This window comes from Homo sapiens, chromosome 7, assembly GCF_000001405.40.
Source record: "Homo sapiens chromosome 7, GRCh38.p14 Primary Assembly".
Lineage (NCBI taxonomy): Eukaryota > Metazoa > Chordata > Mammalia > Primates > Hominidae > Homo > Homo sapiens.
In genome coordinates, this window is record NC_000007.14 from 19,918,511 (window position 1) to 19,945,679 (window position 27,169).

Sequence of the window (27,169 nt, forward strand, 5' to 3'; positions counted from 1 at the left end):
GTCAGTCTCTTCTCTTTGAAAAATTAGCCACATCATATTCTATTTAAAAGTTTAGCATCCTGTAAGTCTCTGGGTAACTTTACATTTTATATTTCTTTAATCTGTTCTCATTTTTTTGTTTATTATTTGTCTAAAATGTTAATTTCATTACATGTTGGATAACCAGGTTAACTATGATGGGAAAGTAGATCAAAAGTATTTTGGGGGTAATGAAGAATGAACAGGTAATTTTAGGTTTGTGTTACCAGAAAAGGAGAAATGATAGAAAAGTGGATATAACAACAAAAGTCATTCATTTTCAGGAGGTCTGGTAACCCAGAATCCTTGTTTACAAAATATCTGTTTTGACTGTGAGGTACAGAATTATCACATTTATACATCATCTGTGTCCCTTAAAAATATAAACTATATTCATAACTAAATTTTAAAAGTATTCCCTGTTTTAAAACAAGTAAATAAATAGACCAATGGACGGTTCATATCTTTATTTTGTTACTTGATTCCCAGTCTTACAATAGCTCTTCTCAGATTATTCTCAACTTTACAAGATAATTTGGAGTTACTGCTTTTCAAAATCCTTTGGTAATTGCTTGTGCCTAAATCATGCCACCTTATTCCATGGGATCCATTAATATTTGGGTAACTAGACAAGGGTATTTAGCAATCCAGGGATGCAGATGCTGTGAAATGGGTTTTCACAGATACGGAGCTGCAGCTTAACGTTATCTTCAGAGAGACAGAAAGCGGAGTCTAGAGAGAAAGCATAGTAATTTAAAACAACTGACATCCCATAGCCCTCCTTAGAAAAGTCATATCCGTTTGGACACATGCCAGAATTCCCTCTGAATTGCTTTTCATAAAGCCCTCAGATTCCTAGTTCTTAATAAGCTCTGTTCACTAGTTATCATAGATATATAATTTTTCCATAACCCTGCTGTCTTTCCTGCAGATTACTCGAGCATATGCTGATTTTGGCTCTGTTACAAACAAAATAAAATCCTTTATTCCTTGAGCTCAAACCCTCCAATATATAATTATTCTTTTAGAACAGTATGTTCACTTTATGTACTTGTCTAGTTACAAAGTTACTTAGTTTCCTAAGCCATTCGCAAAATTTCTGGCTCTATAGCCATAATAAATTGTGAAACAATACTAGAGGGGCAAAAATATTTATAGGAATAATCTTTCAAAAGAAAAAATCTTGAGTGTGATGGTTCTTTGTACATTCTCTTAAGTAAATCATCAGAGCCCGCTTATTTTTCTTTTATTCTTGTTGAAATTCAGGCATGGAGATAACACTGAAATTCTGGCCAAATCAGCTGTTGCTGAAATTTATAGAACAGATTTGGAGTTACCAATTTAAACTTCATAGTTGGCTGAGAATCCAGCTGTGTTGGCTCAGTCAGAGAATGCAATGGAAGGTTGGACTGAAATCATCTGATACCATCCACGAAGGGGGTCTAGAGACTGGGAGGGAGGAGGGAATACGCAAATTAAAACAAAACAAAACAACAAGCCTCAAGAGAGAATAGTTCCTTTGCTGATAGTAATGGTAATTTTTTCACATTAGAAAGTCTCATCATTGACATGAAAGGAAGGGAATTTTAGCTTTAACTGTAGAAATAACTAATTTGGTCTTCTATTTATGTGGTTTGGGGAAAGTAACAGAGTACCCTAACCCCCATATCCCAGAGCTGAGGGAAGCTGGCTGCTTTACACAGCGAGCCAAATGGCCAATTACATGAGTGTGAAAAGGCACCACGCCAAATGCAAACACATTTTCTGTGGTGGCTATTTTTAACTCTGTGCTATATCTTTTGACCTATTTCTACTTGATCCATTATCTTAAATATTCACATTCTTAAGGATGATACATCTGAATACTACGCAAATATTTTCTTCGTTTCCAAGTTGGATAAAAGAAGACAAGATTCTGACCCTGAAATAAAGGCTAAGCCTCTTGGCAAGCTCAGACGTGGTTTGTCAAGTTCACGTTTCCTGCCTTGCTAGCAGTGCCTGTTCAGTTTCTTGACTAGAGAAGTCTGGTCCTACTTCACATGTGCCGAGGTTCTAGGTGGCACTTCTTAACCACCATTCACAGTGAAATAGACCTTTAAAGGGAAATCGTCTTCTCCTCTTTCTTTACAAAATCATAAATGGGTTCTAGGAATGCCTGATCCTCTGGTTCCTGCAATCCCCAAATTCCTAAAAGAATCTCGATTCTTAGTGTGTACACACATACATGCACACAGAAGTTCACACACAGTGCACAGGGGTATGGTGCAGCTGATTTAAAGGTTATGGGTAGAGAAGTGGTTACTCCCTCAAGAGGGAAATTACTGTGCCTGGCTAGAAAGCCGAGGCGTAATCACATGCTGGGTTCCGCCCCCTGGTGCTTCTACTGAGTATCCCTCATTTTCTATCCTAAGACCAGAAGAGGAAATGGTAAGGGGCCGAGGGAGTCAACAGGACAGGAGAGAGGGTTTGCAGACCTTTAAAATCCAGCGCTACAACACTTCTTTGGGTAGCTATCCAGCGACCCAAAATATTTTTCCCCAAGGTAGTGCATAAGCCTCATTTGACTTTGGTACTTGGGTTGAACTTTGAGTTGAGTTGAACTTTGCTGCCATGTTCACTATAAAATGTATACTAATGGGGTAGTTATGTTTGAGAGTTACCAGCCTTTACCTGTCTGTAACTTGCTACAGGCTTCCATGGAGTAAGAAACATTCCTACTGTTACGGTCATTTATTAAATATATTTGCAGAAAAAGGTTTTTACCTTTTCAAAGCACTTTAACATTTGTTATCTTATTTAAACTTTGCAAACCTTTGAAGCAGTTGGGGTAGGAATGAGAATTTCCACTTTGAAAGTAAGTAAATTGAAAGAAAGTCGACCCTGAGGATAGGCCCCACAATCTAAGGCACTGGCTAAATATTCAGGGAAAGGTGTTCACACTGGGGTAGAGACATCAGCAGGCAAGCTTAAAATTGAGTAGAAGAGAATGCCAAACGAAACCAATTAAAGATGTTTTTTGGGTCCAAGTGAATTGCATGATGTTGAGAAGAGTGGAAACTTAAAAGGTCAAAATCAAGGTAAATAAAGGAAGAAAGTAGAGTGTGATACACTACACTGTCTTCTGTTTCCTTGGCTTTCAACCTGGGGTGATTTTTACCGCCAGCAGACCCTTGGCAATATCTGGAGATTTTTCTGGTTATCAAAACTTGGTGGGGTGGGGAGTACTGTTGGCATCTATCAGTTAGAAGCCAAGAATGCTGCTAAACCTTCTACAATGTGTAGGACAGCCCTGCTACAAGAAAGAATTATCTAGCCCAAATTGTCAATAGTACTGAGATTGAGAACCCTGATCTATAATATTTAGAGTAGTTATCTGGTGAATGGTAAGTCACCTTGATTTAAAGCGAGAAACCTAGAATGTCTGACATAAATTCTACCACTCTTGGATACCCTCTGATTTGTTTCCTTAGGAGGTAGATCAGGCTGTAATAGGTTGGATGGAGTGAAAGGGTTAAAGAGAACCACATACCATTTGTCTGCTCTGTGTTCACTCTGTATGAAAATAAGCTATCTAGATATGGCTTTCTCTTTATTTTACATGCTAAAGAATACTGTTTTATAAAAAATTTATGTATTTTTATTAAAATATAGAGTGGAGTTATTTGAGATATACTTGTTGGCCCCTTTATTTGGAAGGGTTATATTTTTAAAATTATATTGTGTCAAATTGCAAAAACGAACTACTTTTGTAGAGGGGATGCTAAATAAATATTCACTTCTGTATTTCCTTTTTCATTTGCTCACTAAAAGCATGTACATCCAGAGATTCAAGTGAGCACTGGCTGTAGAGAAAGCAAGCAAAGTATAATTAAGTGGGAATCTATGGCTTTACTGACTGCCTCTACTGAAAGCAATTGTGTCCGGCTTTTTTTTTTTTTTTTTTTTTTTTTTTTGCCTAATACTCATTTGCAAGGTAGCTTTCTGCCAACAGCATCTTTCCAATGCTGGAAAATTGGACTTCTGCTTTGAGCACATTTAAAAAGAGACGTTTTGTATTTTCTTTTTGTTTTATTTAGATGTGCTAAACATACATAACTGCAAAAAATGGGACAATGAAATTAGGAAACATAGGTTTACTTATTACTTACTAGAAAACGCCCACCCCAAGGTTAGTTAAGGCAGGCAATCACTTGCCCGCTATGATCTAGACTTGTGATACTCAGTTTGATAGTCAAGTGTGGAGCTACTTAAGTTAAAATTTAAAAAATTAAAATTAACTAGAAACTTGACTCCTCGGTGGCACCTGCCGCATTTCAAATGTTAAAATAGTGGGTAGTAACCATCATAATGGGCAGTGCAGATAGAGAATATTTCATTATCACGCAACGTTCCACTGGACAAGGTTTCTTCAGTTGAGTGGATTCAACAATTGATGATAGTGTGAGGACAATGTTGAAGTCTGGTGAGCTTTTCTTTTTTTTTTTTTTTGTTACTTCTTTTCTGTTTTTTGAGAGGGAGTCTCGCTCTGTCGCCCAGGCTGGAGTGCAGTGGCGCGATCTCGGCTCACTGCAAGCTCCGCCTCCCGGGTTCACGCCATTCTCCTGCCTCAGCCTCCAGAGTAGCTGGGACTACAGGCGCCTGCTACCACACCCGGCTAATTTTTTGTATTTTTAGTAGAGACGGGGTTTCACCGTGTTAACCAGGTTGGTCTCGATCTCCTGGCCTCGTGATCCGCCCATCTCGGCCTCCCAAAGTGCTGGGATTACAGACGTGAGCCACCGTGCCCGGCCGAGCTTTTCTTTGAGCATGCAAAATGCTCCCGCACAGCCACTTGAAGTCTCTACCTAGGAGGCAATAACTATAAAGGCCTCATGATATTTTTACTTAATTCATCTAATAATTACTTATTCAATCCCTGCTCTAGGTTAGGCACAATTGTAGGCATTGGGGAAAGAAATGAACAAAACCAAAAATGCCCTTGTTTTCAAAGGGGTTAAATTTGAATGTAGAAGACCAAAGATTTATTGTTAAAAATGTAAATTTATACATATACATACATACATATATAAATTATACATCCAGGAAATGATCACTGTTAGGAAGAAATATCAGAGTGTGAGGGAAGGATACTATTTCCAATAGAGTTCTCAAGGATACCCTTTTGAGGAGCTGATACTTAAGTAGAGTCCTAAAGGCAGTGAGTGGTGTGATTAACGGAACTATCTGGGGCAAGGGCATTTCAGACCCAGGATATAAAAAAATGCAAAGCCTCTGAGGTAGGAAAATTCTTGTCAAGTTAAAGAAAGCCAAAGGAGGCCAGCAGTGCTGGAGCAGAACAAGTAAGAAGAGCAATAGTAAATGAGGTCGGTTATAGGCAATGGCTGGAATATGTATTTATTAGGTAAAGGCCAAGCACGGTGGCTCATGCATGTATTCCTAGCACTTCAGGAGGCTGAAGCGGGTGGATCACTTGAGGTCAGGAGTCCAAGACCAGCCTGGCCAACATGGTGAAACCCCGTCTCTACTAAAAATACAAACATTAGCTGGGTGTGGTGGTGCCTGCCTGTAATCCCAGCTGCTCAGGAGCCTGAGGCAGGAGAATCGCTTGAACCTGGGAGGCAGAGGTTGCGGTGAGCCAAGATCATGCCACTGCACTCCAGCCTGGGCCACAGAATGAGACTCCGTCTCAAAAAAAAAAAAAAAAAATCAGGCCATGGTAAAAATTCAAAAATTCAAATTATGTTCTAAGAGAGATTGGAGACCTTTTTAGTATTTGAGTGCTGAAATGACATGATCCAATTAACATTTTTTAAAGTATCCTCTCACTGCTGTATGCGGGAGAACACTACAAGTTTGCAAGAGCTGAGACAGTGTGACTGGTTAATAAGGCATTGCTACAAACTGGGCAGGAAGTGGTGGTGGCTTAGAGTGTTGTCATTGGAGTAGATGAGAAGGGGTTCAATTAGAAAAATACGTTAAAGTTAAAGAATTAACAAGATTTACTAATTAACTAAATGTAGGATCTAAAATAAAGGTAGGGTTCAAGAGTGACACTAAGGTTTTGCTTGAACTGGGTAGATGGCAGTATGACATTTACTGAGATTAGGGAGTTTGGAGGAATAGCAAGTTTGGAGTGAGTGTGGTAATCAAGAGTTCTCTGCAGAGGATATTTAATGTGAGATGCTCACTAAACATTCAAGAGAATATTTTCAAAAAGTTATTGAATATATACATCTGGAGGTCAGAAAAGAGGTTGGAGCTGATTACATAAATTTGTATGTTAACTGCACGTATATGGTATTTAAAGCTGTGAAGTTAATGGAGATCACAAAAGGAGTAATTGTAGTTAGGGATGAAATACCCAAGAACTGAATCCTGGGGCAGTCCATTTTATAGAAGTGGAAAGGAAAAGGGAAGGAAGTAGAGGAGACTATTCATGTAGGAGAAAATCAGGAGTATGTGGTATCCCAGAGAACAAGTGAAAATTTTATATTAAAAAGGAGAATGGTGAATTATATCAAATGCTTGCAATAAGCTGAGCAAGATGAGAAATGAAAAGTTTCCATTGCATTTGGCAATTTACAGGTTCTTAATGAGAAGTTTCAGTGGAGGACTGGGGACTAAAGCCTGTTCCAGGGGCTTTAAAAAGGAAACAAGAGGTTGTAGGAGGATAGGAAGTGGTGTAAGGAAGTATCCATACCTCTTTTTGAGGAGCTTTGTTATAAAGAGAACATAGAATTCTTATAGTAGCTGAAAGTTTATGTGGAATTTCTGGATTTGTTTGCTTTAATAAAGGAGGAACTACCATATGCTGATTAGATGATGCAGAAGAGGGAAAAAGTGGATGGTGTGGGAGAAATAGAGCATAATTTCAAGAAAAAAGAGGAGAACACCAATGGCTTTGAGGCTACCCAAATCCAGAAGGCCTTGACTCAGGAGCTGTTGAAAATACTAAAATAATTTACAATACTAAAGTGAGCTATACTTCAAAGCATACTAAGAGTTCATAAGGGAAAGATAAGGTCAACCCCCCTTAATGCTCAAAGACAATCATCTCTAAATTGAAAGTTAATGGCCTGTTTGCATCTTCTCTTTCTACCTGCCTTCCTACCATTTCCTGTTGTGTGTTGGACTGGGCATACAGCTAAAGGAGACTGATAAAGATAGTGCTTGATGGTGCAAGCTTGATGTGTTGAGCTTGGCTTGAGATGATGCATTAGCTCGCCAGTATTGATGTTCTGCTTCATGACTAGGACTCTGTAAGATGCACTGGCTTCCTTATATTATAAAAGGCTGCCAAGATGAGAACTAATGATGAACATTTTAGGAACTATAACACCCAGAACTTATATATCATAGAACTGGTAATAAAATAATTTATAATATTATTGGCCCAGGGGTAGCCAAAGATCAGAAAATATTAATTCACTATTTCATCTGTTTCAAAAAAATACTTAAAAGATGCTAAGCAATTATTATTTAGGATAATTCAGCTTTATGATAACACCACATCTGCTGATTTCAGAGATGGTGCACCAAATATTTCCCTTAGCTACCTACCATCAGTTCACATAGATAAATATAGAGGCATTTCTTCATAAGGAATGTCCCAAGAGAAGATTCACGTACCTATTTATGGCTTCTATTTTATTGGCTCATATGTATAATGATAGTTATTCTACTGTTCAGTTTGACGTTTCATGAAAACTTTCCCTTAATAAAATCACTCCTTTTTAAAAAAACTTCTATTATCTTTCTTTCTTCCTTTTTTTTTTTTTTTTTTTTTTTTTTTTGCTGGAGTGCAGTGGCACGATCTTGGCTCACTGCAACGATCTCCGTCTGCCTCCTGGGTTCAAACGATTCTCCTTCCTCAGCCTCCTGAGTAGCTGGGATTACAGGTGTGAGCCACCACGCCCGGCTAATTTTTGTATTTTTAGTAGAGACAGGGTTTCACCATATTGGCCAGGCTGGTCTCGAACTCCTGACCTTGTGATCCGCCCGCCTCAGCCTCCCAAAGTGCTGGGATTACACGTGTGAGCCACCATGCCCGACCATCTTTCTTATTTTCTTTACCAGTATGAAAGTTACTGTCACATCATGTTATTAATGTATTGGATCATAGGTATGACACATGTTTATTATTAATCTTAATTAACATACAGCAAAGTGTTTTGTAACTTAGTGCTCAATAAATATTTATTAGCTTGAATAGATATATTATTAATGCTTCCAGAAAAAAATTCAACCCAAAGAGAGGTGCTAACTTGTCCACATTAAGCTAAATAGTCCCATCTATAAGCTACTCTCTAATTATGTTGTTTTGGATAGGATGCTATTTGAATTTGTCCTCGCAACATTTATATGAATTAGGTATTATTAGGACTGTATGCTATCAATGAGGAAATGCATATTTAGAATTTTGGAACTTGCTAAAGATCACACAAGCAGTATGTGGCAGTGATGAAATTTACACTTGGATCTGACTGATTCCAAGTTCCACACTGGCTATAATGTTTAGGTTAGCTTGAAGTAGAAGATGCTGTTTGGCTATTACATATTCTATTTCATAGAATAAGCCAAAGCGCTTGGTCGCTTACAGGTTTACTAGAGGCAAGTAGGAACATTTTACAGGGAGAGGAGACAGGGAATCTAAAACAAAGCAATTGCCATTACTCTACCTTAAATAATATCCTTTGGTTTCAGCACTTAATTGAAACTACTGTACCAAAGAACAATGACTATCTAATTTCCATTCCGATATACATTTCCCCTCCTTTTTGAATTTGGTCTTTAATTAGCATTTAATACCATGTACCATTTCTGTTATATGCCTAATATTAACTAATGGGGACTACCATTTAAGTAGAATTTGGATTTTTCTGAAAGGCTGGAGATTTTAAATGAGGTTTTTCCTCTTTTTGTAATCTCTCTTTTTTTTAATTCTTGAATGCAACTTTTATTCTTTTTATTTACTTAAGATAAATCTCCAGAAGCTAATGTTTGGGTTACAAACATGATTTTTTTAAAATCGATCTTGAAATTACTTGCCAAATCACTTCTCAAAAGAAGAAAAAGTAGTGACAATATACAAGTATATATATTACAGCTTTCACTATAATCTTCTTGTGAGATTTCATAATTTAAAGATATTTTTCAAACCCCAAAGATTACATCACAATTTAACTTTTTATGAGATCTGGTTTTCTCAAAATAGAACAATGTAAAGACCTGTATCTATATTTGCATCTTTTTGTTTTCCCAGAAATAATTATAATACATCTTTCCCTCATTCTGTTTCCGTCATGTATCATGTATCATGTATCATGTTTAGTGGTACTTAGGTTTTTCTATGTAATATGAAACATTATAGGTAAGTTAAAGCCTGCAAAGCACAATGTTAAATTTTAATTTTGATGATCCATTGGTTCTTGGAAGTATGTAATGGTTGGAAAAAGTTAAGGATGCAACTTCATTTTTGAAACAATATGGGATGTGAGAAAGCAAATATGATTCACAAAGGAAAACACCAAAAGACAAGAAGTGAAAGTGTATTGTTATGAAAAGATGTTATTGTTATAAAAGATGAAATTAGGAAAGCATAGAGTTATTCTAATATAGGAAAACTCTTCTTTAAAAGCTTTGTGAAAACACTGTTTTTGAGTCTCAGCTTGTTTCCATAGTATCCCAGGTAAAAATACACTTTTCTTTCATTATTCATTGCCTTTGCACCAGCTGTTCCCTTCATCTAGATTCTTCTCTGTTATTCCAGTGCAGGGGTTCTTAATCTCAGCACTGTTGATACATTTGACAATTTGCACAGTTGTTTTTGCTGGAGGGGTGTGGGGAGATGTCCTGTTCACTGTAGATTGTTTAGTAGCATTGCTGTTTTAAAAATACTGGAAACAGTAATACAAACCTCCTACTACCACTACTGAGTCATCTTGTACCCTCTTTGAGAACAGTGACTCTAGTGAAACTTATAAATGAAACATAGCTGTAGTGGAAAAAAAAATTCAGAGATCACCTCAGAAAAGACTTTGAAATACCTAAGCCCTCCCTTCCAACAGATCTGATCATTTTTTTTGTGCTTCTGTCATATGTTAAAGCAACCTCTTTTATAAAAATTATTATACTGTTTGTCTTCATGGAACAAATATTTGTTCAATGCTTGAGCTAGCTAGCTCTGGTGAATCTAGTGTTCTGGTGTGTATTTCTTTCCAAAAAGAAATACAATGTTTCATAATATAATGTCATCCTGAAATCAACCATGGGGGTAGTATTAATGCCGTGGAAATTGGAAAATGCTGCAAATCGGGTTTTTGTTTTCCTTAGAGAGCTAATTATTAAACATTTAATAATACCCCTCATGCCTATTATATGCAACTCTTCTCTGAGTAGTGGGAACATATGAGAAAAGAAAGACGCCATGTCATCTAATAAGTTTTATTAACTGGATTGTGAACTCCTTGAAGAAAAGATTATTTTCTACTCATCTTCTAAAACGAGTACTAGCATAGTGATTGATTCATTGATGACACTCAAAAAAGTTAATAACAACATTTATTTGAGCATTCATTTAAATTATGAGTGTGGGATTTCTTCAAAGGACTTTCTTAAACGATGCTTTTGCTTCTGTTTATTTTTGAATCTAGAACTTTCTTACAACAGTTGGATGTTTCAGTGGTTAGTTTATTTTTATATTTCTAAAATTTAGTAATTCAGCAGGAAGGTTCTCTCAAGCTGCAGGAAGTTTTGCAGTTTAAGGCTATTCTGAGCTTTTCAACATGCTTTTTGTGATTTCTTACAATTACTTTGACCATTTCATTCAGCAGGGACTTTTGTAAAGTTAAGCTTTCTCTTTCATTCTCCTAACAATTACTCATCACTCCACGGTTTTTGCCTCATTTTTTCTTTTTCTTTCTTTTTTTTTCCTTGCTTTTCTTTTTCTTTACTTTTTTGGTGGTTCAGACTTTTATATCTGTACTATATATTGATTTTTAAAGCCCTTTTTATTAGAACATAAAATCAGCATATTTTTAGAGAAGTGATTACACATGGGAAGGAGAGGAAAAGAAAAAAAAAGGATTAAGTTTTAAGAATTTAGCTCTATCTATGATAATTTCATTAAAAAAAATCCTAAAACAAAAATGTCAATTCCTTAACTGTTGTTAAACTTATATGTCGAATAAAGAAGTGAATATTTTCTGGCTGGGCGCGGTGGCTCACGCCTGTAATCCCAGCGCTTTGGGAGGCCAAGGCGGGTGGATCACGAGGTCAGGAGATCGAGACGATCCTGGCTAACACGGTGAAACCGCGTCTCTACTAAAAATACAAAAAGTTAGCCAGGCGTCGTGGTGGGCGCCTGTAGTCCCAGCTGCTCGGGAGGCTGAGGCAGGAGAATGGCGGGAGCCCGGAAGGCGGAGCTTGCAGTGAGCCAAGATCGCACCATTGCACTCCAACCTGGGTGACAGAGAGAGATTCCATCTCAAAAAAAAAAAAAAAAGAAAAAAAAAAGTGAATGTTTTCTCTACTGTGTGTATGTTTAAAATGTTTTATAATTAAATATGAAATAATAAAGCATTGTGTTTAAAAATTAGATAATCTAGAAAACATAATGGAAGTAAGGATTGGCCAGAATACTAACACCCAGTGGTGATATCCCAAGTATGTATTAATAATAACCAGTGTGGCATGGGTACTGATCAGTCAGCAGGGATTTTAGATAACTTCTGCATGACTACATTCATGCATACTTCCTGATGCCTGTTCTGCCAGCAGCCACTGGAAACTACTGCCCATATTTTGTTTGTACCTTTATGGACTTTTTTGTGCATACCTTTATTTTTTACATTACATATTTGAATATAGGCATGCTTATTTTTTTCAGAAATTCCAGCACGTGGTTTTTTTTAATAATAATTTTTATGGTTGTAGTTCTTCACTTATCTATTGTTAGTATCTCCCACTGGATTCAAAACTTCAGAAAGTCAGGGCTCCAGTCTCTCCTGCTCACCATGATATATCTGGGACTTAGCCTAGTGCTTGTAATATGGAATACACAAAATATATATCATTAACTTTTTTAATATAAATAGATCTATAAGTACATTAGTATTTTTCTTGGTTGTATAGTATTCTATGTCCTGATATATCATAAATTATTGGATAATCTGTTGTTGGACATTTTGATTAATTTTTTTCTCCCTGTATTTCCCGGGAGACTTTCCTTGTGCTCTCTTTCATTGTGTAGATTTTTAAGGCAAAGAGAAAGAATAGAATTTAGAGGAGGCTGTTGAGAAAAATGAAGATGGTACTGTAACCTCTTTGAGATATAACAGCACATTAACTGATTCCTTTGTGGTGATGGATGTATTAATACTTTAAAACAGTAAAATCTTTGAGGATTTCTCAAGTCAAATGACCTAAGATTGACCAATTCTAAGAAATCTGAGAATGGCATAACCTCTGTGAAACTGGTCCTAGAAAGAACAACATAAAGGTAAAGCGATTGAGTCACCAAAAGTTTGTGATACTGTGAGTGACAGTATTGGAATTTATACCAGTCTTTTGGGTTTGTCCAGGGAACATGTAGCCAAGCAAAATAGCTTACAAGCAACGTTTTGTGAAATGAATCCAAGTTTCCTCATTAACTTTAGCTTTCTATTGGGATGAAAGTTTAAAAATATTCAATTCTATTTTTAAAAATACTTTTCCAAGAGAGTATCGACAAGTCTGTTCAAAAGGTTTAAGGTATGCTGAAATCGATGTTCCTGTGGGAAGAGGGAGCTTTATGTTAGTACTTCCTGAACTTCTCAGCATGTTCCTTCTATATCCTCTCAGCTGTTGACCTTACAAGACAGTCTTTAAGTGTATACATTTGCTAGAAACGTCCTAAATCCACAAAATATGGTCTTGATTAATTTCATACATAAACATACTCTCATGTAGGATTAATTAATGTCTTCACTGTTAGAAAAAACAGATCCCAATATGTGACTAAGGACCAATGTGGGCAACACACAGTCCTGATTTACTTCAAGTTAAGCATCAAGATACAACAATAAAATCTCATATGGAAATATTGTAGATTACTTTACTGGAGAATGATTTGATTGGCAATGAACCCCTTAGTGCCTATAATAATTGAATAAGTCTGTTCTCACACTGCAAATAAAGACATACCCAAAACTGGGTAATTTATAAAGAAAAAGAGGTTTAATGGACTTATAGCTCCACATGGCTAGGGAGGCCTCACACTCATGGTGGAAGGTGAAGGAAGAGCAAGGACACATTTTACATGGCAGCAGGCAAGAGAGTTTGTGTGTGGGAAGTGCCCTTTATAAAACCATCAGATCTTGTGAGACTTATTCCCTATCACAAGAAGAGCACGGGAAAAGCCCGCCCCTATAATTCAATTACCTCCCACTCGGTCCCTCTCATGATATGTGGGGATTATGGGAACTACAATCCAATATGAGATTTGGGTGGGGACACAGCCAAACCATATCAATACTTAAAAATACAGGAAGAGGTGGGCTGGGCTCAGTGGCTCATGCCTGTAATCCCAGCACTTGGGAAGGCTGAGGCGGGTGGATCACGAGGTTAGGAGTTCTTGATCAGCCTGACCAACATGGTGAAACCTCATCTCTACTAAAAATACAAAAATTTGCCAGGTGTGGTGGCATGCGCCTGTAATCCCAGCTACTCAGGAGGCTGAGGCAGGAGAATCACTTGAACTCAGGAGGCGGAGGTTGCAGTGAGCTGAGATGGTGCCACTGCACTCCAGCCTAGCGATAGAGCAAGAATCCCTCTCAAAACAAAACAAAAAAAAATACAGGAAGAGGTAAAAGGGATTCCAGAGTATTTTTTTTATTTATTCCCTAAGAAGAGTGACTATGCAAATACTTATGGTGTTCAATGTTCAGTTATTATAGAAATATTCACGCCCTAAAGATTGCATTATAGCACACAAAAGCTGTCGCTGTCTCCTAGGAGTAGTGAAATGGCATCCTTAGGACATGGATAGAAACACAAATCTTGTTTGAGTGAAGGGATCTACAGTCCACAACAGCTATTACTCACTCACTAAACCAATTTCCAATATAATATATGCAATTAAAAAAGTCAAAGGTGGGATAATCTTAGTAAATATAACCAAAATGAAATCATATCACTACTGTGTACAAAAGTGTCATTAGTAAAACAATTGCAGGGAAAGGGAGTCCTTGAGGACTTCCTGGTGGCTAAAATTTCAATCAATCAAATGAGCTTTTCTTATATTCACTCACGATAGACAGTCTAATCTAACTTTGATGTACATCAGGAACAGAACCATAAGTTATTGGTCTCCTTTAGTTTTGAATTTGATATCTTCCACTACCTAGATTTAGGTATCCATGAATGTAAATCATATGTTCCTGAAGGCCCTGGAGCACACGCAGAATTCACCTGGTAAATACTGCTAAATGTTTTCAGGGCCCTTCCATCCAGCTGGCGTGAAAATTCACCATCTGCTTTGAAACCAGATGAGCAAACAAAAGCACGTGTTGCTGACTTACATAATTCCTTCAAGGAGAAAAGAAGCCTTGGGCCCCTAAATGTCAAAGCTGCTTATTTCTCAGCTTAGTTGAGTGCAGACTCAGCAGAGCTGTGATGGAGATTTGAAGGTGAATGACTGCACAAGTCTGAAGCCAAGGGTCTGGGCAGAAGACAATGATTAAAAAAATACTTTTATCTAACCTTTGTTAAAATAAAACTCTCAGGAGAACAATGGTTTCCTTTCTAAATTAGCTTTGCTTATACCTACAAGGTACAAAGTACAGTGGCAATAGATTGATGACTGTAAACTGACACTTAAATTTTTCATGCAGAAAATGGAATGATGAAAAAATATTAACGACTATTGCCATTGCTTCCCACATGTTAATCAACAAAGTCAAATCACGAGACACAATGTCTAAATGCTTTGTATTTTTATAGCTTCTTTTTATAATTCTGGATTTTGTTCAATATTTAAGTTATTCACTAGCATTCTCTGCTTGGGTTTTAAATTGCCCTTTAATTGTTAACTGATTATTGATGTTCACTGTGGCAGATATATTTTTAGCCTGTTCATAGACTCCCAATTAATAATTCTTTTTCCACTCCATGTAACAACAATGCAATTGTTTTAAAAATCAACCAATTCTGGTTTCTGGTCTAAGTTGGAAGAATTTAACAACTCATAAGTAATGATACTGTATTTCTATATAAAGTTTTCTTTATAAAAATTTTATAAAAAGTTACATTTTTATGAGAGTTATGGTTCTGTTGAGAGCAATAGATACAGACATTGGCTAAATTAAGGTAAAATGGAGCATGTTAGAAGGATGTGGCTAGATATGGGAAGCCTCACAGGAAAGAAGAGACAGAAAGCAAACTTGGAACAGGCAAAAACCAATCAGCTCTGGGTGGCCTCAGTAGCTCTGTAGTCATATCTGTGTTACAACCGTTGTCCCTGTGATAGTTCACTGAAGGTTTGAGGTGCTGGAAGAGAGTCAGAATTATAATATTCAGGCTATACATCATTTTAGGGAAAAAAGGATTAAGAAGAAGCATCTCCCAGGGTCACCTGAGACAAATCTAATCTGCAACATGAAGGCAGCACATCAGTAGTTGTCTGGAGCTGGAGGTTGGGTGGCATGGTTTTATCTGGGAAGAGGCACAAGGAATCCTTTGAAGTGATGGAAATGTACATCTTGATTAGGTTGATGGTTACACTGGTGTATAAATTTGTCAAACATTTTGGTAATGTAAACTTGGATAGATTTTGTTGTGTATAAAGTATACATCCACAGAGTTGATTTTAAAAAGACATCCAGAAATGTTGTACTTTGTAAATTATATTAAAATATACCTATAAGTAGTTTGACAATAACAATGAATAAACCAACTGTGTTCACCACAGCTCTAGAATAACAGAAATTGACTTTTGGCATGACAGTGTAAGGAGCTCCAGATAAAAACAGCAACCATTTGAAGCCTTGAGAAATGGTACTACGTACGAATAGCAAATAAAATAGTATCTATTTGAGAAAATCTATAAAAAGCAGTAAAAAAAGGCAAGAGTCTATAGTATTTAAGTCCAAACTGCTCTCTTTTTTTCCCTTCCCAGATCGGTAAGGTGTAGAGATTTCACTAAAGATTACTGAAACCAAGAACACAGGACCCGCTCCCCCAGCCACTCCCCACCCTGCTTCTTTGCTCCCAGTTGGAGAGCTTTCTTTTTAGAAGGAGTAAGATGTCAGTATTTCTTATCTTACACATAGCTACCTACTGCAGAGGCTGAGTGTGGTTGAGAAGTAGAGGTCACCTTCATCTGCCCAATTCCCACCCATGCCACAGATATGTTTTGCTTTAGGTGTGGAATGCTGAGGATATGGGGTGGGGCCCTAATCATCTTTGACTTGGCTTGTGAGGAGGCATGCTTCAGCACCAGAAGGGGTGAGCCAAGGGGACCTTAGGCTACCTCTGTACAGTTTTCCACCACCACACACTCAGCTTCTAGAGTGAGAGCAATATGTAGGGATATCACTCAGAGAAAAGTTTACCAACAAGCCATAAAAGAGCATCTAATTTCTTCCCAAAGGAACTAACTTCACTTGCAACATATTTTGGAGAAGTTCAAGCTTGAACGAACTCTTAAGAACAGTGGAGCCGGGCGCGGTGGCTCACGCCTGTAATCCCAGCATTTGGGAGGCCAAGGCGGGCGGATCACGAGGTCAGGAGATCGAGACCATCCTCGCTAACGCGGTGAAACCCCGTCTCTACTAAAAATACAAAAAATTAGCCGGGCGTGGTGGTGGGCGCCTGTAGTCCCAGCTACTCGGGAGGCTGAGGCAGGAGAATAGCATGAACCCGGGAGGCGGAGCTTGCAGTGAGCCCAGATTGCACCACTGCACTCCAGCCTGGGCGCCACAGCGAGTCTCCATCTCAAAAAAAAAAAAAAAAAAAAGAACAGTGGAGACCATGGTAGAAGCCAACTGAGAAAAAATATTCTCTGAACTGTAAGTTGGTTGTTTGCAAGATGGAACCAGGGAATAAGGTAGGTGGGAGGTGCCACTTTGGAGTAAAAAAAGATAAAAGATGACCTCAATAACTTTTTTCAAAGGAGCTAAAATTTTATAGGGTTTATTTGTATGCTAATTTATGTTCTAGGGCATTGTTATAAAAAATAGAGATATCATTCAGCAATTAATGAAGTTGAACAGATAGGTCCAGTAAGGGAAAGGGAAAAACAAAGCTCTACCAAAACCACTGTCATCCCAGAGTGACCGTGGGCATACCCAAAGCTGTGTCTCCCTAAAAAGTGACATCAGGGTTTAACACTGAAAGAATGGGTAGATTTCACTGAAATAACCCTGCAGCCTCTAAACAAATAAATAAGCAAATAATAACAAGCCCCTAGATGGCAGGAAGGGACAGTACCCAGAAATGCTACAATATGTTTTCTAAAATGTCCAGTTTTTATTAAAAAAGTATAAAAAATGCAAAGAAACAAGAAAGTATAACAATACACCAGAGGTTTATAGAAAGAAGCAGGCAACAAACTCCCTGTGAGAGCACACACATAAAATTGTATTTGTCAGAAAAAGACTTTAAATTAAACACTATAAACAAGATCATAGATCTAAAATAAATCAGTATTAAATAAACAAAAGTATGATCACAATGCCACCTCAAATACAGAATATCAATATGAAATAAAGAATTATAAAAAGAGTCAAATAAAAATGTTAGAGTTAAAAAATGCAGTAAGTGGGAAAAAATACACTAGAGGGGCTTAACAATAGATGTGAACACACAGAAAAACAAACTTGAAGAGAGCTCAGTAAAGATTATGTGAGCCTAAAAACAGAGAGAATAAAAGAATGAAGAACAATAAAGACAATAAAGAAAGCCTCTAAGGAAACATTACGTGTAACAGGATACCAAAAGGGAGGAGAGAGAAAAGAGAAGAAAATATATTTAAAAAAATAATGGCTGAAAACTTCCTAAATCTATTAAAAAACCAATAATCTACATATCAAGGAAGCCCAACAAATTCCAAGGAGGGTAAAAATGAAGATCTTCACAAACAGACACATAAGAGTAAAAATGGTGAAAGTCAGACAAGGAGAAAATTGAAAGCAACAAGAGAAAAATGACTTACTACTTAGAATACCAACAAAATTAATAGCAGATTTTTTTCTTTTCTTTATTTTTTTCTTCTCTCTCTCTCTTTTGACAAAGTCTTGCTCTCTCACTCAGGCCACAGTGCAATGTTGTGATGAAGGCTCACTGCAGCCTTGGTCTCTCATGTTCAAGGGATCCTTCTCACTTCAGTCTCTTGAGTAGCTCGACCACAGACACATGCCACCATATCTAGCTATTTTTGGGGGAGACAGAGTCTCCCTGTGTTGCCCAAGCAGGTCTTGAACTCCTGGGTTCAAGCAATCCTCCCACCTTAGCCTCCTAAAATGCTAGGATTGCAAGTGTGAGCCATCACACTTGGTTAATAGCTGATTTCTCATCAGAAAAAAAACAAAAACAAAAAACAAAAAACGAAGCCAAAAGATAGTAGAATAATCAAAGTGCTCAAAGTAGAAACAAGCAAAATGAAAATTCCAACTAAAATTATTTTATTATTTTATTTTACTTTAAGTTCTGGGATACATGTGCAGAATGTGCAGGTTTGTTACATAGGTGTACATGTGCCATGGTAGTTTGCTGCACCTATCAACCCGTCATCTAGGCCTTAAGCCCCGCATGCATTAGGTATTTGTCCTAATGCTCTCCCTCCCCTTGCCCCCCACCCCCCAACAGGTCCCGGTGTGTGATGTTCCCCTCCCTGTGTCCATGTGTTCTCATTGTTCAACTCCCACTTATGAGTGAGAACATACGGTGTTTGGTTTTCTGTTCCTGTGTTAGTTTGCTTTGCTAAATGTAAGAATTTTATATTATATACCCAAAGGATTCTACTACAAAATTCTTATATTTAGCAAAGTTATATTTAAAAAATGAGCTGGGCACAGTGTCTCATTCCTGTAATCCCAGCACTTTGGGAGGCTGAGGTGGGCGGATCACGAGGTCAGAAGATCAAGACCATCCTGGCTAACACGGTGAAACCCCGTCTCTACTAAAAATACAAAAAAAAAAAAAAAAAAAAAAAAAAAAAATTAGCCAGGCATGGGGGCAGGCACTTGTCGTCCCAGCTACTAGGGAGGCTGAGGCAGGAGAATGGCGTGAACCTGGGAGGCGGAGCTTGCAGTTAGGCGAGATCGTACCACTGTACTCCAGCCTGGGCGACAGAGCAAGACTCCGTCTCAAAAAAAAAAAAAAAAGAATTTGGATTGATAATATTTTGTTAAAAATTTTCACATCTAACTTGATGAAAGATATTGGCCTATAGATTTCTTTTTTTATTGTGTCCTTGTCTGGTTTGGGTATCAGGGCAATGCTGGCCTCAATCATCTGAGGGATGCAAGGAGGCCTCAATCATCTGAGGGATGCAAACCAATAAACATGGTACATCACATTAACAAAATCAAGGTTAAAAAAAGTATATGATCACTTCAATAGACACACATAAAAATCATTTGATAAAATTGAACACCCCTACATGATAAAAACCCTCAACACATTAGGTACAAATGGAACATTCCTTAACACAGCCATGTATGACAAACTTATAGCCACCAAATTGACCTACAGATTTAATGCAATCCATATCAAAATACAAAATATATTTTGCACAGAAATAAATAAAAGAATCCTAAAATTTGTATGGAACCACAGGACGCCAAATAGCCAAAGCAGTCTTGAGCAAAAAGTGCAAAGCTTGAGGTATCACACTGCCTGACTTCAAAATATATCACAAAGCTATACTAACCAAACTAGTATGATACTGCCATAAAAACAAACATATAGGCCAATGGAGCAGAATAAAGAACCCCAAAATAAATCCTCATATTTACACTCAACTTATTTTTGACAAAGGTGCCAAGAACACACATTGGGGAATAGGCAGTCTCTTCAATAAATGGTTCTGAGAAAACTTAGATAGCTACAGGCAGAAGAATGAAATTAGACCCCTATGACTCACCATATACAAAAGAAAGCAACCCAAAATGGATTGAAGACTTAAATGTAAGACCCAAAACTATGAAACTACTAGAGGAAAACCTAAAAGAAACAAATTTATTTGAACCCAGTAACATCGTTCATATAACATTTAAAAACAGACTGTGAGGAACAGGGCTTATAATCATCTTTTCTGGTCAGGTAGCCCTCCTTATCTCTTAGACTTATATCTGTATATTAAGGGAAAATTCAAGTATTGAGCCAACTACCTCAATCTCCTTCCTCTGAAGTGATAATGATGTTTTCTGTTTCTGTTTTCATCTTGACTCTAATTGGAATAAACATTTTTTCAAGGGCCAAGATTATTACATATTTTAAAACTTCTGTAGTTCAGTATGTTCATAGTACATTAAAAAATTTGTGTATCTATCTACAGGTATTAATCCTGTCTCTCAGAGTGAGTTCCCATTGCTAGCATGAAAAACACAGACCACAAAAATTGAAATGGGTATTTCTATTCTCACTTCTCTCAAAAACAGAAATCTAAAACATATTAAGAGATTTTTCACAAGTCACATAACAAATCTGAGGTTGAGCCATAGACCCCATGGCTTCTCCCATTTTGCCATAGTAATCACCCTTTCATTTAAAAGTAAATATAAAATCTGTATTATTACTCTAAGTTATTATAATATCAAATAAGTGATAATTAACCCTATGTATCAGAAACTGTTTTAGGCAACAACATTTTCCTCTAAATACCAACTGGAATTTTGTTATTAAAAATAGTCTCTAAGTTTCCTATCTGTCCTCATCCTAGTTGCAAAGTTTGGCTCAATGGAAAGCATCATATGACTCTCACAGGGCACTGGAAATGTGTATTTCATGGTGCTCCGCATTAAGCATCTACTAGCAAAGGAACATGGCTTGGAGTCATATACTTGAATATTCTATTCATACATCTGTGTGAATGCAGAAAGTCCTCTTGATCTTTACAAGCCTCATTTTCCTAGACTATAATGAAATTTTCTTATTTATTTCAAAAAGTTTAAACATGAAAACAATGTAAAAAAAAATAAGCGCTGATGTTGTTAATACATTTCCCACAGCACCTGACTGTAAAGCATCATCTGCTTGGTGGGTCATTGCTAAATCCCTCCTTTCCCTTCCTGTCTATTTTCAATGTTTACTTTCACTTGTCTTCACAGAAGCCAGGATCATCTTCTGTGACATAACCTAGAGCATGCATGAACATTCATTATAAAGTGAAAAGCAGGGTTGTCTGTGATCAGTTCCCAAGGAATTCCATCCCCTGACTCAACAAGCATGAGACATGAGTCTTTTTCCCTCCAGTGGGAGGGCTACAACCATCCAGTCATCCTTGGGACATGTGATATTTGGGCAGTTTGCCTTTCCCAGCAATTTCCTAAAGATCTGCAGGATCCTTAACTCAGACAACCAGTTGCCTAGGTCAGACATCATAAGGCATTCTCAGGGTCAGCATGTGCATTAAAAACAAAAGAGCCGTCAAGGGGTGGGGTCTTCTCCTGGAACATAGCAGCAGTGTGGCCTGTAGGCCCTGAGCCAAGCACAACTCTCTTGAGGAGTGGTGACCACCTGCTCCCTCATAGTCCCTTTCTTGCCTTGCAAAGTGTCCCAAAAGCTTATCTGAATCCCATACCCCACCACGGTTAATTTCCTTACTTCTTAGTACCCACCTTACCATAATCCTTGGAAACAGACATCATGCCTTTTCCACTGTTTCTGCTTTTCTTTTTGTCCTCCAGTGCTTAACATGGCACGAGGCATATAGTAAACATGTAGTAAAGAGATTTAATGTATTAAACTATTAAGTTGCCAAGGAAGGACAGGAGGCCTAGAAAACCTGAATTGTTCAGGTTTACATAGAGATCATTTTCTTTCTATAAGGAAAATAGAAAAGATAAGTCTCAGAATTAATGTGGTTCAGATGGGCAGAGGGAAACCGGATAGGAGATAATAACAGAGGACTCGGAACAAATACTAATTATGTGTTCAGGGGAGGAAAAAAGGAACTCAATTAAGCCTTTTTGGATTCATGGACAAACCAGAGAGAAATGCAGAGACAAACACAAGTTTAGGGCTGCCTTGCTGTGAACACTCACTCTGCCTGGATTTACCCTGGGTGTCTAGCCAGCTTCCCCAGCACTTTTCCTGCGTGAGGCTGTATTGATTGCACAGGTTAAGTGGGGTGTCTTATTATTTGTGTAGGTCAGGCTTTCCTGTTATAACTTGCAGTTCATTTTCATTTATTTTAAAAATCAGCAAAAGCAAAAACACCCAGCTGCTGCCTGGGGTGCTCTTCTGCTGAGATGAAGGTTAAGATTTATCAGCTACATTCCCTATAACATTGTTTTGTCCAAGCAAACTCTCTCCCTCCTGTTTGCTTTAATTGTTGGAATAAATAGGGAGACATAAAGTAAAGGTAAATAGAGAGAAGCCAGTAATCATATCCTTTGGCTTTTCATTAGTCTCTATAGGTGTTAGGCAGTCAGTCAATAAGTTTTGAGCAACCTATTACTGAATGCATCAATATATGCTAATAACGGAATTTTTTGCCTCAGTTGGGTGCCATAAATATTGCTCACATCATAGTTCAATGTCTATTTGAGAATTACTACAATGATGCCTGCCATGAATAATTAATGAGATGCCACGGAGTTAGAGCAAATGGCATTCTATCTACACATAGGCTCCAGTGTCATCAGTGGCTGGTAAGATCAACAGAAGGAGAATCACTGATATTTGTGTAACAGCAAAGCCAGAGTTGTCCCTTTGGTGGTAGACACTTCACTAGGCCTTTTAGACAAACACACCTTCTTAGCAGAGGTGTCAACCCATTGTGTGGCCTGTCCTCAGGATGTGTCACCCCTTTAAGTAGGTAGAACGTTCCTGTTAGCATTATTTACAATACTAATACCCAGGAAGTATTGGAAATGTGGGACATTGCTAAGAGAGAACCGACTTTGAAAAATAAAGATGGATAATAAATAAGAGCATTTGGGTATGTTAGAAGAAAGTGTGTTCAAGAGTAAGTTTGCTCTAGCTTGGCTTCATCAAGTCAGCACCTCTAGGAACTTTGGCCATAGAAGAACCAAGGAAGGGGGCTAAAGCTGTAAATCTAATGATAAAAATTATAATGCAAATCCCACCTTCAAGTTTACTAGTGGCTATCATGTTAAGTGATCCAATTTCAATACTGACAATGTGTTTGAAAGATATTTCAATTGCTCTAGTGCTCTAGAGATTATTGCTTTGTGTACGTATATTATATATGTGTGTGTGTTTATATGTATACATACATATATAAATATGTATGTATATTTTTATATGTATATATACCCAAATATATAAATATACCTATATGTGTACATATATGTGTACATATAGACATGTACACATATACACATACATGTATGACAGAGGTGTGTATATCACAGAGGTGTATATGTGTATATATACATATATGTGTATGTATGTGTATATATACACATGTGTATGTATACACACGTGTATATATGTGTATATATACACGTGTATGTATATACACATGTGTATATATGCGTATACATATACATACATATATGCATGTATATGTACACATTTGTGTATATGTCTATGTATACACATACATATATTTATACACAAAATATTTGTTTATACACACACACACACACACACACACAGAAAAGGAGAAACAGGAGAAACACAGATAGACCCCTAAGCAAAGAGGGTTACAAAAATGTGATGGTACAGACTTATAAATAAGCAGGGAAAAGCTGACTTCTTTGTAAAACTCTCCATCTGATAGAACTCTTGGAATACTGCCTTTGAAAATATTAGAATTTAAAAACTTTTGGCAATTCCTATGTTATCTTTAAAATCAATGTAAGTTTAACAATTGATACCACTTATTTTCCTCACCTGCCCATTTCACCATTCTTTACTCTTCTGCTTTCTAGGAAGGAGGAGCACCCTAGGTCTAGAGTAGGGTTTCTCAGACTGGGTTCCTTGGAGAAGCCTCAGGGAGTCTGTGTACCATGCAATGTTTTATGCAAGAGGTTATTTTTATTGTACTTTTGCAGTTTGTTTGAGGAGGCTGTCAGTCACTATGTTTCAATGTTAAGAGGTTTTAAGAGTGATAATAAAAAAGAAGATCTTTTTTTTTTCTGCCAATCCATGGCCAATTCTTCTATCCATATAGTATTTTCCTTTGGGAATTTCTAATGTTCCAGCCTCCAACCTGAGGGATGGAGAATGGGTCCTGTTTGTTGGAGGGGATATAGATAGTATCACAAAAAGTTTGTCGTCTAATGTCATTTTAAGGATTTTATTTTCCCATATGTTCTATAGCTACAGAAAGCAGGCATTTTTCTATTTTTACCACTCACTCTGTGGCATTTTCATGTCAAGGTTATGAGGAATTGTCTAGTGGTGTGTGTGTGTGTGTGTGTGTGTGTGTGTGTGTGTGTGCATGGGGAAAAATAATATTTTCTAACTCTAGGGTCAACCTGGGTCTGCCTAAGGATCATCTCTCCATCTCCACCTGCCATGGTGCGTAAGATTTACTAACTAACTCATGTTGGACCTGGAAAATCACCAGCAATTTCATTCATATAAATCATCTCAGTGTTTCATGGGGATGGAAAGGCAGAGTAGTAGATGGTCCAATAATTGATCCTATGATTTCCTGGAGCAAGCCTGAAGATTCCCCTGATTTGGCTTCAGTCTGTCTTAATTTTATTTCCTCAGTATACCTAGTCTGTCAGCTTCTTGTGGTCGTGAATATGTTCTCTTGTACCATTGTTGTATCTCCAAGGCCTGCAACACAAGAGGGCTCAGGATAGATTTATGCTGGTGCTACTGGTGTTTTGTTACCATTTTCAGAAACATTCTTATTCACCTGACCTCCTGAAGAAAATGCGTAAAATTTGCACATGAGATTACTTTGGCTGGGTCCATGAGATAAACAGATGTTCCTGCCAGACAATTCACTCTGCATTAACATAAAGCCAGTGGGGAAAGAAAAATGAAATGTTTCATTAAGTTGTGGCAGCCTGCTCGTGTATTCATCAATTTATACTTTACTAAAAATGTCTGTTGGCTAATGTGTAGAGATGATCATAATAAATGTTAATCGCTTCTAGCAGTTTATCTTTCCAATCACGATCATCCCTTTGCTCTCATTCCAATTTCAATCAAAACACACAGATGTAGAGTTTATTGGGATGAGACAGGCTGGAGATTTATAGTCAATGTACCTCCCAGCAATTAAGAGGACTTATCCAAACAACTCCCATCTAAGTTGATTGAAATCTAGGCCTATTTATCCTGAAAATTAGAAATTTTTATAAAATAAAAACACAATTATACATTCTAAAAAGACCAGTCAAGTTAATATCTTGCATTTTGATTCAGACAGTAGCACTTGGGAACACATTGCTCTACTGCTTTTCCTTGACATCTGGCACCCCATGATTCAGACATTTCCTTTTCAATTTAGCAGATCTGAAAAATCATATAGCAAAAAATATACATGTATATATATTTTAATATATATTAAAGGCTGAAGAATGCAACCTTAAAGCTGAACATCTATTTACAAAAAGTTGGTAGGATTGTAGAAAACTGCCTTTAAAAAATGATTTAAGCTGAGTTTTAAAAGTTCAAAAATATACATTAGTAACTTTTTGAATAAATGTAAGGAAAGTAGATATATTTGTCAGTAGTTAAAATATTCGACTCTTCTTCTGGTGTCAGCACCCTTATTCTCCTCTTAAAATGATATGCTACGGTTTGAATGTTTCCCCCAGCTTCCATGTGTTGGAAACCTAATCCCCATTGCAACAGTGCTGAGAGGTAGGGCTTTTAACTGGTGATTAGTTCATGAGGTCTCTGCCCTCATGAACAGATTAATGGCATTATGCTGGGAGTTATCACAGGAGTGAATTATTAATAAGATAACTCTTTTCTGTATCATCCTAATGAAAAGTATGAATCTGGCCCACTTTCTCTCTTGCCTCATCTTGTGCTCTCCCGCTCTTCCACCTTCAGCCATGCGATGGTGTGGCAAAAACAACCTTATCAGATGCTAGCACTTTGATGTGGGACTTTCCAGCCTCAGAACTGTGCAAATTTTATTTTCTTTGTAAATTATCCCACGTATGGCATTCTGTTGTAGCAACACAAAGAAGACTAAGACACCATCCCTCCATCTCTCCTAATTCTTGTGGTATTACTGGAGCTGCTTCCTTCTGTAACTACAAAGGTGAGTATATGACCTGACCTGGCAATCAGGGTAACACATTCCTCTGACTAGAGCAATTAGTTCATCCTTGGTTATGACTAAACCATAGCTCAATGAGGCTCAGTTCTGGGTCTTTTTTGAACCTCTTAGTAGAGGAAAGCTGAGCTGCTGAAAAGAGATAATAATCTTAGAGTAACAAGCATTCATATTACAGTAAAAAAGAGACAATATAACAGTAGATTTAAACAAAGAATAATAGACCTGAGATTGAAAGACAAGTAATTGGAAATTTTATTGCATCCCTGGATGCAGTCAGCCTTTAAACTAATATTCTAAAACTTTTTTTAAAAAGTATTGTTTAAAGTTTTATTTCTTAAAATCTATTATATACAGTTCATATATATAAAGTCTATAATAAAATTTATATTATATAAATTTATATAGTATATATACTATATATAGTATATAAATATATATAAGTATATATATATACTGTATATATAGTATATAAATTTATATATATATATATATATATATATATATATATATATATATTTAAAACACTGGAGAGTCCCCAAAGACATTCCTGCCTATTTCCCCCTCTAAATTCTAGACTGTCAAGTAGCTGGTGAGACAGCTAAGCGGTCAGATAAGTTGATGAACCATTTTCTTCTAATTTAGCAAAGTTCAGTGGTGACCTTGAGATAAGTAGTATTAGTAGATTAGTAGAGGACCAAAGCTTGATTGGAATGGATTTAATAGCAA

The 27,169-nt window shown here is 37.1% G+C and overlaps 1 long non-coding RNA gene across 1 annotated transcript in view; it reads right to left on the reverse strand.

Annotated features, from left to right (window-relative positions):
* Positions 1 to 470: 470 nt before the first annotated feature.
* Positions 471 to 27,169, reverse strand: part of MACC1-OT1 (MACC1 3' UTR overlapping transcript 1) — a 221,446-nt gene continuing 194,747 nt past the window's right edge. The window contains exon 6 of the long non-coding RNA NR_110114.1: positions 471 to 750. This is a non-coding gene — a long non-coding RNA (MACC1 3' UTR overlapping transcript 1). The remainder of the gene's footprint in view (positions 751 to 27,169) is intronic.